General features: G+C 38.6%; 1 protein-coding gene across 4 annotated transcripts in view; it reads right to left on the bottom strand.

Moving 5' to 3' along the window:
- PDE4B (phosphodiesterase 4B) overlaps positions 1–17,962 on the bottom strand; it is a 582,070-nt gene that overhangs the window by 439,985 nt on the left and 124,123 nt on the right. For 2 of the 4 annotated variants that reach the window (NM_001037341.2, NM_002600.4), the window contains exon 3: positions 15,760–15,998. The exons of the other annotated variants lie outside the window; for them this stretch is intronic. In NM_001037341.2, the coding sequence (NP_001032418.1) occupies positions 15,760–15,998 (239 nt within the window). The remainder of the gene's footprint in view (positions 1–15,759; positions 15,999–17,962) is intronic. 4 annotated transcript variants of the gene reach the window in all.

Genomic DNA, 17,962 nt, shown 5'->3' with positions numbered 1-17,962 from the left:
AACTGCTCTTTGTCTTTTGGTTGAGGAATTTAATCCATGTCTATGTAAAGTAAGCATTGATAGAGAAAAATTTACTATTGCCATTTTGTTCATTGTTGTCTGTTTGTCTTGTGGTTCTGACAGCTGTCTTTTTATTCTTTCTCTGTCTTTTATTTTTTATTGAGACAGGATCACCCAGACTGGAGTGCACTGGCACAATCATAGCTCTTTGTTATCTAGGCTTAAGCAATCCTCCTGCATTAGCCTCCTGAGCAGCTAGGGCTACAGGTATATGCCACCATGCTCAACTAATTTTAAAAATATATTGTTTTACAGATAGGGTCTTGCTATGTTGTCTAGGCTGATCTCAAGCTCCTGGGCTCAAGTAATCCTCCTACCTTGACCTCCTATGTCTTACTCTCTCATGCTGTCTTCCTTTGTGTTGCAGTGAATATTTTGTACTGATATACTTTGATTTCTTTCTCTTTTCCTTTTTTGTATCTTCTATAGGTATTTCTTTGTGGCCACTATGGGGCTTACATAAAATATCTATTAGTCTATCTTATAATTTATTTAAAATAGTCTATATTAAACTGATAACAACTTACATTCAATTTCTCTACACTTGCACTTCTTTCCCATCACACACTATGTTATAGATGTTAAAATTCACATCTCTCTATATTCCATATCCCTTTAAATAATATTTAATTACAGATATTTTCAATATCTTTTGTCTTTTAACTTTATAATTAAAAGTGATTCATCCAACAGTTACAGTGTTTGCAGTAGTCTGAATTTGCCTATATATTTATCATTACCAAGTTTCACTTTCTTGTGCTATCATGTTACCGTTTGTGTCATTTGTTGCAACTTGAAGAGCTTCCATTAGCATTCCTTTTAAGACAAGTATGGCGCTGATCAACTCTCCACTTTTTTTTTTTTTAGACGGATTCTCGCCCTGTTGCCAGGGCTGGAATGCAATGGCACGATGATCTCGGCTCAATGCAATCTCTGCCTCAGCCTCCCAAGTAGCTGGGATTATAGGCGCCTGCCACCATGCCCAGCTAATTTTTTGTATCTTTAGTAGAGATGGGGTTTCACTATATTGGCCAGGCTGGTCTTTAACTCCTGACCTCAAGTGATCCGCCCGCCGTGGCCTCCCAAAATGCTGGGATTACAGGCATGAGCCACAGCGCCCAGCCTCTCTGCTTTTATTTGTCTGGGAAAGTCTCTATTTTTGAAGGAGAATTTTGGCATGCCAAGTATTTTTCATTGGCAGGTTTTTTTTTTTTAATTTCAGCACTTTGAATATATCATCCCACTCCCTTCTGGCCTGCAAGGTTTTCTACTGAAAAATCCACTTTTAGTTTTATGGGAAATCCCTTGTACATGACAAATCACTTTTCTGTTGCTACTTTGAAAATTCTCCCTTTGCCTTGACTTTTGACAATATAATTATAATGTATCTCAGTGTAGGTTTCTTTCCGTTCATTTCATCTGGTATCTGCTGGGCTTCCTAGAGTAGAATGTGCATTTTCTTCCCCAGATTTGGGAAGTTTTGTGCTATTATTTCTTTGAATATGTTTTGTGGTTCTTTCTCTCTCTCCTCTCTCCTCCAAGAACTCCTATAATGTGCACATTGGTCCACTTGATGGTGTCCCATAAGTCCTTTAAGCTGTCTTTATTTTTGTCATTCGTTTTTCTTTTTGCTCTTCTGACTGAATAATTTCTAACAACAATAACTTGTCTTCAAGTGTGCTTATCTTTTCTTCTGCTTGATTTAGTCTGCTGTCACACTGCTTTAGTGAATTTTTGAGCTGTTATTGTATTATTTAGCTCTACAAATTCTTTTTGGTACTTTTTATACTTTCTATATCTCTGTTGAAATACTCATGTTCATGCATTGTTCTCTTGGTTTTGGTGAACATCTTCATAATGGTTATTTTGAGTTCTCTGTTAGGTAAATCAAATATTTCTCTTTCATTAGGCTTTGTTTCTGGAGATTTATCTTGTTCCTTTGTTTGGAATCCATTTCCATGTTATTTTTATTTTCCTTGACTCTTTGTGTAGGGTTGGTATATTAGACAAAACAGTGACCTCTCCCAATCTTCACAGACTAAACTTATAAAGGAGAAGACCCTCACTAACCAGCTCAGCCATGGATTCTCGGGGCCTCTCCAACCTGCCAATCTGTTTTCTTTGTTCTTAGCAGCTACCATCTAGAGTATGCTAGGTACAATCAGTGTTCCAATAGAAGTGATATTGGGGCCATTCCTCAAGTAGCCCCCAGAAAAGTTGAATCATTTGATGCCCTTTCCAACTCTTCCCATGACACACAGAGAGAGAAGCTGGGATCTGTGGTTTTTCACCTGTTCACCCTACACTGAGCTTGTGGGTGGGACTGCATCATCTAGTTGCATGCTAGATCAAACCACCATATTTGTTCTCATTGGCCCCAAGGCAGCTAGAGTATGCCAGGTCCCATAAGTACCCCAAAACAAGCCAGACAGAGGAAGTCCTTTGGGAAGCTCCCAGAAACACTGGGGCATTGGCCAAGCAGACTAACTCTTCCCTTCCCAAGAAGATGTTGGAAGCAGGGATTTTTCATTTTCTTGCTCTGTGTTGAGCTGAGGGAAAGGATATGGTAACTGTCAGTGCAAACTTCTGTCTTTGTTCTTACCAGCCCCTGGATGGCTAGATTATGCTGGGTTCCATTACTGCTCCAAGACTGGAAAGAGAAAGGCCCATCCTTTGGGGAGGAAGAAGTTGGAAGAGTGTCATACACATGGTCCAACTCTTTTACTCTCCAGGGAGAAGCTGGGAGCTATGATTCCTTTCAATCATGTGGCATTGAGCTGTGGGTAGGGATTCAGACATGAGGGTGTCCTGAATTTTCCTGTGGGATTTGATGTGTCTGGGTGCAGGAGGCTCTCAACTAGTTTTGGATTTCTCAGTAAGAGAATTTGTCTGTGAGTTGTTGTTGAATTGGTGGGTTCGTTGGGGGAAGGAGGGTATCACTTCTGTAAATGACATTTTATTATTATAATTTCAAATTTCAATTGTCTATTGCCAGTGTATAGGAAAGCAACTGATTTTGTATGTTAACTCTGTATACTGAAACCTTGTTATATTGATTATTATTTCCTTCAAGGAGAGGTGTTTCTTGTTTGTTTGTTTGTTTCTGCCAGTCTGTAGGATATTTTGTAAAGACAGTCATGTCATCTGCAAAGATAATTTTATTTCCTCTCTCCCAAACTGTATACCTTTTTGTATTAGGCCATTCTCGTATTGCTATAAAGGAATACCCAAGACTGGGTAATTTATAAAGAAAAGAGGTTTAATTCGCTCATTGTTCTGCAGGCTGTACAGGAAGCATAGCTGCTTCTGCTTCTAGGGAAGTCTCAGGAAACTTACAATCATGGTGGAAGGAAAAGAGGAGGCAGTTAGATCTTACATGGGTGGAGCAGGAAGAAGAGAGAGAGGGGAGAGGTGCTACACATTTCTAAATAACCATATCTCACAATAACTCACTCACTCATTATCATGAGGACAGCACTGAGGGGATGGTGCTAAGCCATTCATGTGAAAGTGCCCCCATGATCCAATCACCTCCCACCAGGTCCCACTTCCAACATTGGGGATTACAATTGAACATGAGATTTGAGTGAGGACACAGATTCAAACCACATCATTCTGCCCCTGGGCCCTCCCAAATCTCATGTCCTTCTCACACTGCAAAATACAATCATGCCTTCCCAACAGTTTCCCAAAGTCTTAATTCATTCCAGCATTAACTCAAAACTCCACAGTCCAAAGTCTCATCTGAGACAAGGCTAGTCCCTTCTGCCTATGAGCCTGTAAAATAAAAAACAAGTTAGTTACCTCCAAGATACAATGGGGGTATAGTCATTGGGTAAATACTTCCATTCCAAAAGAGAGAAATCAGCCAAAAGAACAGGGCTACAGGCCCTATGCAAGTCCAAAACCCAGCAGGGTGGTCATTAAATTGTATAGCTCCACAATAATCTCTTTTGACTCCATGTCCCACATCCAGGGCACACTGATGTAAGGGCTGGGCTCCCAAGGCCTTGGGCAGCTCCGCCCCTGTGGCCTTCCAGGGCTCGACCCCCCAATGCTGCTCTCAAGGGCTGGCATTGAATGCCTGTAGCTTTTCCAGGTGCAGGGTACAAGCTGCCAGTGGATCTATCATTCTGGAGTCTGGAGAACAGTGGCCCTCTGTGATGGTTAATACTGAGTGTCAACTTGATTGAACTGAAGGATGCAAAGTATTGATCCTGGGCATGTCTGTGAGGGTGTTGCCAAAGGAGATTAACATTTGAGTCAGTGGGCTCGGGAAAGAGGATTCACCCTTAATCTGGTGGGCACAATCTAATGAACTGCCAGCAAATATAAGGCAGGCAGAAAAACGTGAAAAGGAGAGACTGGCCTAGTCTCCCAGCCTATATCTTTCTCCCATGCTGGATGCTTCCTGCCCTCAAACATTGGACTCCAAGTTCTTCAGTTTTGAGACTCAGACTCACTCTCCTTGCTTCTCAAGCTTAAAGACAGCTTATTGTGGGACTTTGTATCCTAGTAGTTCTGTCCCTCTAGAGAACTCTGGCAAATATAGATTTTGGTACCAAGAATGGTTCTAGAGGAACAGTATTTTAAGAATGGAGTTCTTTCATTAGTTTGGGAGTTTCTGGAGTTGGCTGCTTAATATGATTAGACTCAAAAATGCTAAGGATTCTACTTCTAATAGTATGGAGAACACTGATAGTCCTTGGCATGGATTGTTTAGAGAGTTATACAAAATAAATGCATTTGACACTCCCAATTCACCACTCATGAGAGGCAAGGAGTTTAGTGACTCTATACATAATACCTTTGACCATATGTGCAGAACCAAGGAACGTAATGAAGCTGATTGGTTGCGCCTAAGTTCAGTGGACAAAGTGATGAAAGAAAATGATAAACTCATGGATTCTGTCTCCTGGCTTCAGAAGCAAATACTGAACCTCAAGTCTGTTAAGATTGCCCTAAGTGAAAGTCTTATTTCCTATAGAGAAAGAGCGGGAATTATGGAAAAACAGGCACAAACTCTTATCATGAAAGTGGGTGACCTGCAACAGAAGGTGCATGCACAGCCTCACCAGGTGTCTATTAAAGTGAGATTGATTGGAAAAGAATGGGACCCTGCAACTTGGAACAGGAACATGTGGGAAGACACTGATGAAGCTGGGGATACTGAATTTGTAAACTCTGATGAATCTTTTTTGCCAGAAGGAACAGCTTCCCCATCCCCAGTAGTGGCAACATCCCCTCCCCGACCCATGCTGCCATCAGCCTTTCTACCTTTGTCTGAAGAGATAAACCCTGTGCCGCCTGAGGCAACAGTGATGGCCTCCCCTGAGGTGGTTGCCAGGCAAGGTAATGCTGATTCTCCTCAGGAGCCACCCCCAACCTGCCTGTTTGCTTCTAGACCTATAACTAGACTAAAGTCCCGGCGGGCCCCTAGAAGTAAGGTTGAGAGTGTGACCCATGAGGAGGTGCGCTACACTGGAAAAGAACTGCTTGAGTTTTCTCATTTATATAAACAGAAATCTGAAGAACATGGGAATGGATATTAAGGGTGTGGGATAATGGTGGAAGGAATACAGAGTTGGATCAGGCCGAATTTATTAATTTGGGCCCACTACATAGGAACTCTGCTTCTAATGTTGCAGCTTGGTGAGTTAAAAAATGTTCTAATAGTTTATTTGCTTGGTTAGCTGAAATATGGACTAAAAGATGGCCCACTGTAAGCAAGCTGGAAATGCCTGATCTCCCTTGGTTTAATGGAGAGGAAGGGATCCAGAGGCTTAGGGAGATTGGGATGATGGAGTGGATTAGTCACTTTAGACCTCTCATCCCAGCTGGGAGGGTCCAGAAGATACACCCTTGACCAATGCCTTGCAAAATAGATTTGCGAGGGTGGCACCTGCATCTTTGAAGAGCCCTGTAATTGCTCTTCTCTGTATGTCAGATCTAACAGTGGGAACTGCAGTCACTCAACCACAAAATTTAAATACAATGGGAGTAATTAGATCCTGAGGTGGCAGGAGCCAAGTGGTGGCACTCAACCTTCAAAGGCAAGGTGGGCGTAGCTACCTTATTGGACAGCAGAGGCAAAGTGGCAATCAGAATGGTCTGACTCGTGTAGAGTTATGGCATTGGCTAATTAATCACGGTGTTCCTAGAAGTGAAATTGATAGGAAGCCTACTGCATTCGTACTTAATTTATACTAGCAGAAAACTTCTAGGTCGAATGGACAAAAGACTAATTTAAATTATAAAAACAGAGAATAATGGCCCCTCAATCGATTTCCAGACTTGAGCCAGTTTACAGACCCAGAACTCCTTGAATGAAGGGGAGGCCAGGTACCCTTGAGGAAGGACCTCACTACGTTATCGACAATTTGAGCAGTGAATCTTTCTCCCATCCTTCCCCAAGGAGACCTCCAGCCTTTTACCAGGGTACCTGCCCACTGGGGAGAGGGAAATGATCGACATTTAAGGAACTAGTGGACACTGGCTCTGAGCTGACATTGATTCCAGAGGACCCAAAATGTCACTGTGGTCCTCCAGTTAAAGCAGGGGCTTATGGAGGTCAGGTAATTAATGGAGTTGTAGCTCAGGTCCAACAAAGAGTGGATCCAGTGGGTTCCCGGACTCATCCTGTGGTCATTTCCCCAGTGCATAATAGGCATAGACATTCTTAGCAACTGGCAGAACCCCCACATTGGCTCCCTGACTGGTAGGGTGAGGGCTGTTACGGTGAGAAAGGCCAAATGGAAGCCATTAGAGCTGCCTCTACCTAGAAAAATAGTAAATCAAAAACAATATCGCATCCCTGGAGGGACTGTGGAGATTAGTGCCACTATCAAGGACTTGAAAGAAGCACGAGTGGTTATTCCCATTCAACTCTCCCATTTGGCTGTGCAGAAGACAGATGGATCTTGGAGAATGACAGTGCCTTATCATAAGTTTAACAAAGTGATGACTCCAATTGCAGCTGCTGTACCAGATGTGATAAAGATAATATATATTATATATATTTACATATATTATATATATAATACATATTATATATATTTACATATATTATATATATAATACATATTATATATATTTACATATATTATATATAATACATATTTATATTTTAAGTAACCTAAGTCTGCCTTCACATGTAGTATATATATCTTAAAACAGAATATTCCCATTTGCTCCTGCTTGTTCATTTCACACTGTTGTCTTTCATTTCCCTTACCCCTATACTATAACCACCCAGTGCATTGTTGGTATTGCTTGAAACAGTTATGTTTTATATAGTTAAGAAAGTTTAGCTTGAAAAAACTAAACAATGTTATCTTATCTTCATTTATTTCTCCTCTGACACTCTTCTTTGTGTAGATCTGTGCCCTATATCATTTTTCTTCTTAATGAATAACTTCTTTTAACATGGTCTTATAAATCAGGTCTACTGACAATGAGTTTCCTCAGTTTTGTTTCTCTGAAAAAGTCTCCCTCTCTCCTTCACATTTGAAGGATAATTTTGCTGGTTATAAAATTCTAGCCTGGTGAAAGTTTTTATTTCAACACTTTAAATAATGTACTCCACTCTCTTCTTGCTTTCATGGTTTCTGACAAACAGTCCAGTATAATTCTTATTCTTGTTCCTCTATATGTCTGTTTTTATTATTTGATTTCTTTAGAGATTTTTCTTTGTCTTTGGTTTTCTGAAGTTTGAATATGATATGCCTAAGGGGTGTGTGTGTGTGTGTGTATTTGTTATTTATCCTCATCCGTGGATAATTAACAATACCTAGATCAAGTAGCAAGAGAAAGCAAAAGAAGTGAAGTAATCAATTCTATGTAGGCCTACAAGTACAAAGGAAGAAAAGACAGTAAAACAAGATTCAGTTTAAACTATTGCAAACTCAGATGTTCCTTTCTGAAAGGGAGATAAAACAGTAAAGACACTAATATCTACTACATAAAATAAGCAAACATTTTACTCAAAGCCAAAAACATTCAGATACTGGGGAAAGATAGTGTCTTCGGGAGAAAAAGTCAAAGAAATAGGTCCCAGTAGGCCCTTAGGAGCACAAACTTAAGAATTATCATCAGAAGCTTCAGTTTAAGAATGTACTAAAGGCAATTTTATAGCCAAAACAAGTGTGGGATGAAAGGACCTAAGATCTCCATAGCAAGTAGCTATGAAAGTTTTCTGTAATATTGTTCACAAGGTTATCTCAACAAAACCTTTGCTTTAAAAATAAGGAAAACTATCATCTTATTTTCTTGATGCTACTAAAGAAATGCCAAGTTAGTAAGGAAATAGCAAGTCAAAGTGTAAGGGGACTTTTCTCACCAAAGGTGCATAATGGACGTCAAAGTTGCTTTTGCCCTGAGGATATTTACCACACAGAGTAAAAGTTAATATTAGTCTGATGTCCTTGAGGGTCAAGGGGGAACTGTAATCAAAGCCCAGCCATGCCAGGGTGAGGCATTCAAAAGGAGAGTCTTCCCAACTTAAACCAGAACTTCAAAGGGCTATTTTCTCATTGCAAAGGTAAAATAGAAGTAAACACACCCCTACTCTACATCCAGGAGACTGCCAGAAGGGTAGCCTCAGTGATAATTCAAGCAGGGCCAGGGGTTGAGGGCGTGGGGTCATAGGCAGTGGACCTTAACAGATTATGATCATGTTTCAGCTAGATGATTGAGAAACCCTCTGATCAATCTACCAATGCCCCAGTGCCCCTAGAGACCTGATAGAATCAAATGCAAATTCTCTATGGTGAACCTTATTCTGATACCTTAAACTGTGCCTACAAATAATGTTTCAATGACATTTAATTTATTGTGGCAGCACACAATAAATTTTAAAAAATTAAGCACACCTCTTAAACCTAATGTTGAGGGCAATAAATAAGTCAAATGCAAAATATTACACATTATGTGATTCCATTATGTAAAGTTCAAAAACAGACAAAACTAATAGATGTTGTTGGAGGTATGGAGGAGGTAGTGATGGGGCAGGGGCTCGGGGGGTGCATAAGAAGAGCTTCTGAGACACTAGTAAAGTTTTGCTTCTTGATTTTGTTCCTGGTTTTGTGGTTGTGTCCAATTTGTGAAATTTTATCAACATGCCCTCTTATGATAGGTATACTTTTTTGCACACTGATTGTACTTTAATAAAGTTTTTTTAAATAGTAGTAAGGAATTTTTTTTAATTTTCAGTTCCGGGGTACATGTGCAGGATGTGCAGGTTTGTTACATACAACATGTGCCATGGTGGTTTGCTGCACCTATCAACCCATCACCTAGGTATTAAGCCCAGCATGCATTAGCTATTTTTCTTAATAAAGTTTTTTAAAAGCATGAGCAAAAACTATCAGGAAACACAGATAATAGAAAATAGACTCACTGAAAACTTTAGTTACTAAAATGAGCAAAAGGGTAAAATAACTATTCTTGCTCTCTAAAAGCTTGAAAATATCTGCAGTGCAATATACAGCCTCTAAACTGATCTCCAATGATCTCCACCTCCTTGTTTATTCCTTTGCAGAATCCCCTCCCCTGTGCATGTGTAAGACCTAATGAACAGAATATATAAAAGTGATGGGATGTCACTTCTAAGACTAAGTTGTAAAAATACTTTGACCTCTGTCTTGCTCAGTCTCTATTGGTCTCTCTTTCTCAAAACACTTGCTCTGGAGAAACCAAACTGACATGTTATAAATAGCCTTCACATAGGTCTATGAGACCCACATGGCAAGGAACTGGTATTTCTAGTCAGCCACAGCCAGGAATTGAGCCTGTCAACAACCATGTTGATCAGGTTGGAAGCAGTTCTGCCCACCTTTCCACCCATATGCATGACTACAGTACTGGCCAATTACTTGATTCCAGTCTTGTGAGAGACTCTGAGTCAGAGGCACACAGCTAAGCCACAGCTGGATTCCTGATTCATAGAAACTCTGAGATAAAAATGTTATTTTAAGCCAGTAAATGTTGGGATTATTTGCTATGCAGTAATAGATAGCAGGGAATAGAAAACCACATAACATTATCTAGTGTATTTTTAAATACATGAATACAAACTTTAAAATGTAAAAATACAATAATCAAAATTAAAAAAATATAATAGGTTTAATAACAAATGAGACATAGTTTGAAAAAAAAATTAGCGGCCGGGCGCGGTGGCTCACGCCTGTAATCCCAGCACTTTGGGAGGCCGAGGCGGGCGGATCACGAGGTCAGGAGATCGAGACCATCCCGGCTAAAACAGTGAAACCCCGTCTCTACTAAAAATACAAAAAATTAGCCGGGCGTAGTGGCGGGCGCCTGTAGTCCCAGCTACTTGGGAGGCTGAGGCAGGAGAATGGCGTGAACCCGGGAGGCGGAGCTTGCAGTGAGCCGAGATCCCGCCACTGCACTCCAGCCTGGGCGACAGAGCGAGACTCCGTCTCAAAAAAAAAAAAAAATTAGCAAACTGGAAGGCAGATTAGAAACAATTATCAGAATGCAGCCCAGAAAGACAAAATGAGAAAAAAATGTGGAATAAATTAAGAGAAATGGAAGACAAAGAAGTTTATAAAATACATTTAATCAGAAATCCAACAGCAGAGGAGAAAGATTGGCAGAGAAAATATTTGAAGAGGTAATGAAAGAATATTCCAGATCTGATAAGGAAGATATAAATTTACATATTCAAGAAGTCCGGGAAATCCCAAATAAGATAAATGAAAGGAAATCCATCCTTAGGCACATCAAAGTTCAACTGCCCAAATCCAGAGACAAAAAACAATTGACAGATTATCTATAAGAAAGACAATTAGAGTGATAGCTGATTTCCTAATAGTAACAACAGAAGACAAAAAGCAGGGAAAAATAGTTTCAAAGTGTTGAAATAAAGTAAAGACATTTTCAGACAAACTGAAATAAATTCTGAAGAATTTACTTCAGGCAAAAAGGCAAATAATTCCAGCAGAGGTTCTAAGATATGAGGAGGAATTAAAACCAAAACATTGGTAAGTATCTGGGAAAATCCAAATCAAACGGTGAATGCAAAAAATAATGCTAATGTATTGTGTGGTAAGATATACAGAGAGAGAGAAATAACTAAAATACACAAAAACAAACTGTAAGCAGGGAAGGGCTTGAAAGAGTAAAGTGTTCTAAGACCCTCATGTAAGAAGATTAAAGTTATAGATTAACTATAGATGTTCAAGGCCCAGAATTGGCTTATTATCTAAATTTGGTTATGCAGCATTGCATAACCTATAGATCAGTAACTATTTAAAAAGTGAAGTCCCTCAGAGACCTGGTATTATACGAATACAATTCCTATGGGCCTGAAGAAACTACAGCCTTTACAGTGGAAGATGACTTAGGCTGCAGCTGGTTAGGAAACCCTCCTTCTAAACCATGCTTCAAGGTCCTGCTAACAAAATGAGAAAATCAAGAAGACATGGAAGATAAATGTGAGAACTTCATTTTTTGAACTTCAGTTTACAAGAGCAGGAAACTTTGAATTCAGATTTTTGTGGGGGAGGGGGTTGGGGGGAATACTCAAAAGGGCAGTGGTCAATATTGGGAGAACAGCTTCACAAAGATGGCAGTAAGTTAGTACTGGTATACTCCTGATATCTTCCTCTAAAGAACAGGCACATCCCTAATGTGCCCCTAAAGTTAAGGTGAAAAGATTTTAAAAATTGGGAAATGTTTGATATGTCTTGCAAGTGTCTGGAATGCCACCAGCATCACATTTCCAGCCTCTTTCTGCCGCCTTACTCACTATTTCCCAGAGAGAATGAATAATTTAATCTTTCTTGGTGTTTTCATAAGGGGGAACTGGCCATGTACAGTTCAATCCTTCCCTCTACTTTCTCACGTGAGTAGGATTTCTACAGATCCTCCATGCTACAAGTTTTGTAGGGGTAGGCCTTCTATTTATGTGTGTATAAGAGGTGAGGGGATCCTGCCCAGGTCTAGCATCTATGCAATTATAGGTTTCAATATTAGGAACCCACTTGCCCACAGACATAAATTATATTTTTCAGTATCAACTTTATCAGTATTAAAGATAACATCTTGCTTTCATATCTGAATTCCTCTTTCATCATATTTCCAAGTTGGTTCCAAGAACTCAGGAGCTAAGTTTCCCCTAAAACCTCCAATAATAGAAAATGCATAATTTTGGCTACTCAGTCTAAATGTAACAATAAAAATGACAATAATAATAATATCAAAATAACCATTAAGAACAAGTGATTGTGCTACATGCATAGCAAACCTTTTCTTTAATTTTCCACATGATTTTGAAGTGTAGGTATTGTAATCTCCATTGTTTGTTCATTTGTGTCTTTTGGAGATTGTATTATAATAGAAACTCATCTGAAAGGCTACAAAATGGAAGTCACCCAATAAAACTGGGCTTGAGTCCTTTCTAACTCTTTCTTGCTCCATGACAAATAAAATCACTATTCTTATATTCCCGGCCTTTTTTCTGTAATGATGGCCTGTTTTCTCCAAATAAACATATGATAAAATCATGTTAATGTTTTTATATAAAACCTTATATAAAATTAGGCAGTACTTTTCATTAGAACGGATTCAAATTATTTCACTGTCTTTGATGGCTTGATCTAGAACACACAGTCCCATACTTATGACTTATTTGGCACATCAGCCATGACCTCAAAGTCAGTTTTTGTCCTTGATAACTGTAAAAACAATGATCAAATCCTAGGATCACGTCTTAGAGATCTTTACTAGCCTAGAAAGGGAAACTTTTCTAAGGGAGACTTTTCAAAGTCGGCAAACTCTGGCAGGCCAAATCCAGCCTGCTGCTTGTTTTTGTAAACAAAGTTTTATTGGAACACAGCTACACTTCTTCGTTTACACATTGGCTATGGCTCCTTTCACAATATAACAGCAAGGATGAGTAGTTGTGACAGAGACTGCAAAGCTCATAAAACTTAAAATATTTACTATCTGGTCCTTTAGAGAAAACATTTGCTCATTGCTGGTCTTGGCATGGAAATTGATTCCATATTCTTGGTACTCTAAGTGGTAAGCATAATTCTTTCTCTCACGTAGTCCTAGGCAGTACTCCTTATCTCTATGAACTTTCATCAAGTTGATGGCATTGATGATAATTTGAACCCAGTTCCCTCACTTCTAGTCAAATCATTTTTTAATCAGATTCCTTCACCAATAATTCCACCAGTCTTCAGCTATCAGTATTCCAGTGGAAGCTGGATTTTCAAGAGATGTTCAGAAATGCTTTTAGGGCCGGGCGCGGTGGCTCACACCTGTAATCCCAGCACTTTGGGAGGCCGAGGCGGGCGGATCACGAGGTCAGGAGATCGAGACCATCCCGGCTAAAACGGTGAAACCCCGTCTCTACTAAAAATACAAAAAATTAGCCGGGCGTAGTGGCAGGCGCCTGTAGTCCCAGCTACTTGGGAGGCTGAGGCAGGAGAATGGCGTGAACCCGGGAGGCGGAGCTTGCAGTGAGCCGAGATCCCGCCACTGCACTCCAGCCTGGGCGACAGAGCGAGACTCCGTCTCAAAAAAAAAAAAAAAAAAAAAAAAAAAGAAATGCTTTTAGTTACTTATGTTTTAAAATAAATTCAGAGTTATCTGCATACTCTATTCTCATACTTTAAAAAGTATCCTGTTAATTGAAATAAAACACACATGTTATAAATGAATTACCAATATGTGGTGCTCACTGACTATTGAACATGAATAATGGCTAAATTTTCCATTTCAACCTAAAATACTGACGCCAAGAATGAGGCTACTGATACTAGAGACATGGTTTCTAATTTCCAGAAAATATTTATTGGATAATGATCAAGAGGACAAAAATCAACATTTGCTGATTACCTACCATATGCATTTTACTAAGCAAAATACCTTAGATAGATTACATCATTTAATCCTCACAATAGCCTATGAGGTAAATATTATTGCCCTCCTTTAAAAATAAAAACATTCAACTAGGAAAGAGAAACAAGCATGCCCCAAATGGCAGAGTCTAGATTTGATATTTCTAAGGAAGGAACAATTCTACAACTCCCAAAATGTCTTTGAATTAAATGAACTCAAACTTTACAAGGCACTGTACATTTTACCCAGGGTGTTACTCAAAATAGCTAACAACAGATATAGCACCAACACCCACCAAAACCAGATTCCTCTGTGCCAGTCTTCACCTCTTTGTTTTTAGATTGTGAGAAATTCTAGAGGCTTCAGGAGAATAGTCTGCGAGAGTAGTAGGGGCAATCAGAGAGCTCAAGAAAGCATATATTTACCAACTGGTATGAAAGCATTTCAATACTTTAACAACTGATAGAATTGTATCACTGCCAACCTGCTGAAAAATAAATCTGGAAATCTTTAAGACTCCAAATCCGTAATTATACAGACACATAATCAAGACTAATCACATAAGCTATGTGATTGAGTATCCTATAGGGGAGCCCTATGTGCCCTTTTAATTCTCCATGATTGGCTATGACTCTTATATAATGTTAATTCAGCTGAACAGAAGATGTAAGACAGTCCTTCTCAAATTTTTAACCCATTTTCTTTAAAATGTTTTAGCATGATTCTCTATCACACAGATTGTCTGATTAAATATTTGATGCTATTAACTGTGATACCTGGAGTTTCAGTGATCTAATGCTCAGTGTGTCAGGTAAACATTGACTAAAGGATGTCAAGATGCCGTATATCATTATTCAAAGAGCACATACTGGGCTACTCATCAGCCCTGGAGAGCTCAGCATGTGGCAGAGCTCTGTACATGGTACACCATAAAAATAATAGATTTTTAATAATTTACTACAATAATGTTGTACAATAATTTAATGCTTAGTCTTTCACTTGATAAATTATGTAAACAAAAAGTGATTTTAAAAGCAACACATTATTAATTTAAAATCATATCAGAGAAAATATTTTTCACTTTCATGATAAACCTCCATGATATGTAAGCCAATCCTTCCTGAAAAATATTTTAAAATGATGTAGGAAAACAGAAAAGGAAAAGTGAGAATGTACTAATTATTAAATATATAATAAAGCACATATTTGAAGCAGTCATGGCACAATAACCACAATTGTAAGATTATATGATTAACTTTTCAACACTGGTTTAAAATAGCCTCTTTCACAAATATAGACTCTGCACAACAGTGCCAGCATCTCTCATAGCGCAATTTTCATTACTCTTTCAATTTACAATGAAATGTTTTATTTTATAGATAATCACAAACTGAGATTAATAAAGTAGGATGATAATAAATAGAAGCTAGGGAGAAGTGTAGAGTTCAGCAATAAGAACATCATATACATATAGTAACATGTAATTTGTTTTTCTAAGTCAAAAAATACTGATGCACACTGTATAGCTCTTTTTAAAAAAGTTAGATCATAAGCAGTAATTTTGTTATCCCTTTACATTAATGTAAATGTATCTCATTCCTTCCTCAGTAGCTTTAAATGAAGCATGTTCCTTCCACTCTGAAGAACTAGAAAATATCTCCACTGTTTACAAGACCTTATCTTTGATTCTAAAGGGAAACGAATTCTCAAAATGTCAATCATCTTAGGTATTTCACAGAAAACTCACATTTTAATACTATGAAATTGTATTTGGAGAAATTGGAAAATAAAAATTTAGAATTGACATTTGATTTTGAGGCTACTCACCACTCCTGGCTTACAGTTGTAATAGCAATGCTTGGAAGCGTTGTCAAAGGCAGTGTGGTCGGCCTGGAAATACCATCTCCCTCAGGAGTCCTTGCCCTTTCACTCTGTCTTTGAGACAGTGGTGGTAACTGTAAGTTTCCTGAGCAACACCTTCTCCCTCTCCAGAGGTCGATCCCAAGTGTGTTACTGGAAGAACTGTAGGATTTACTCAAGCTACATTCAAAATAATCTTTAACATTCTGGAGGAACCACAGGGAAAGAAAAAAAGAAGAGAAAGAAAATGAAATTCAAATGTTAAATGGAGTGAAAGAAGAAACTAAATGATCAAGCTGTCACTTATGATGTCCTGATTATCTCACAATCAGAATCTAACAACGATGTCAAAAGCTTAAAGAGAAAACAATAGAAGAGGCTGATTCTCAGCTTTTAGAATAAACTTATCAGTTGCATATTCCTGGAGATTTTTAGGCATATAGATAATGTTTACTAGTTGTAGCATGTGGATTGGAGGCCTCCTTCTTTCCTATTTTAATTTTTTTCATAAGTTGCTAAAATGATATTTGCTAAAATCAAAAATATATTTTGGAAATCAATGTTATCGTTCTGCAACTATGGGAACAAACTATGAGAAAATATAAAGTTTCTCGTTCAGTATTTTATTTTATGTATTTATTTATTTTTGGAGATGGAGTCTCGCTCTGTCACCCAGGCTGGAGTGATCTCAGCTCACTGCAACCACTTCCTCCTGGGTTTAAGTGATTCTCCTGCCTCAGCCTCCCAAGTAGCTAGGACTACAGGCACACACCACAACGCCCGGCTAATTTTTGTATTTTTAGTAGGGACGGGGTTTCGCCATGTTGGCCAGGCTGGTCTCAAACTCCTGACCTCAGGTGATCTGCCTGTCCCGGCCTCCCAAAGTGCTGGGATTACAGGCATGAGCCACTACGCCTAGCCATCCAGTGTTTTAAAGTAAAAATATTATCTATCTTAGAACAGCTGAATGTTGATAATTAGAGGTGACTGTTATGTTCTTATGAAAGGTCTTCTTACAATTGGAGATTTTTTTTTCAAATTGTGTAAGAACTCAGAAAAAGAAGTATACTTTATTCAGTCTTGAACTGCCACGTTCAAGTACATGCCCTAATGCTGACATTAATCATACACTTTGTGAGAAGACAAAGACATTGTGCGGTACTCAATGATACAAGTTATTTATTCTTCCCATATCTTTTGGTGACAATGGGTCCTGAGATTGTTGGGAGTGGGAGGCCCAAATGAGCCTCTGCCTGGTGTACCATTCATACCAGCTAAAAGACAGAAAATGTTATAGCCCTGCAATGGTCACTGATATCAACTTAAGGTTTCAAAGTTACAATTTTCACTGTTCACACTTAGCTAGCAGGGAATAACGGAAGTCCTAGCATCAGGCTACAGTCTCTCACCTGAAAATTACTCTGTGACACTAAAGACAGGTATTTCCTACTAGCTCTTCAGACTCGAGTTAGGAGAACCTGAGACTAGACCTCCTAAAGTTTAAACAAAGTTCTTTACCCTCCGCTCCTCTACCCCACGGCCCCTATCCTAGTTCATATAAGGATAATTAACTCAAGTTTGAGGATCTAGCTGGGTTAATTCAACAAATATTTGACACACATCTATTATTATTTTGCACTGTGCTATTTAAGGATACAATAGCAAAAAGAGGAATGGTATCTTTTCTCATAGAACATATAATCTAGTGATTTATACTTATCTGATGCATGCAAGACTATACTTCGATGATAGAAATCTAGGCAAGAACAGGCTTGAGAATTTTCAGGAGCCCCACCCTCCATACCAGAAAATGAGACACCATTATATTTTCTTGTGCTTGACTTATAATTTTAAAATACTATTTATTTGAAATTCAGTAGAATCATAGTTCAGTATCAGGAAGAAGACAAAACAATTTAAAATTTTCCAGAGTTTGAAACATTCTGGAATGTATCAGTGTTTCACTGTCTAGTAACTAGTTATTATATCAAATCCATTGTAGGCCTAGCACTTACTGTATGTTGTGTGTGTATGTGTGTGTGCATGTGTGTGTGTGTCTATGTGTGTAAATTAGAGGCTAAAGGGAAAAACTAATATATATGTTTATTTTTTAAAAGACTTACAAACTTCTTTAGGAGACAAAATATATAAAATCTTCCTGAAGAGATTT

The sequence above is a fragment of the Homo sapiens genome, chromosome 1 (genome assembly GCF_000001405.40).
Source record: "Homo sapiens chromosome 1, GRCh38.p14 Primary Assembly".
NCBI classification, from domain to species: Eukaryota; Metazoa; Chordata; class Mammalia; order Primates; family Hominidae; genus Homo; species Homo sapiens.
The sequence above is the reverse complement of the archived record's forward strand: the minus strand, read 5'-3'. Positions and strand labels throughout refer to the sequence as shown.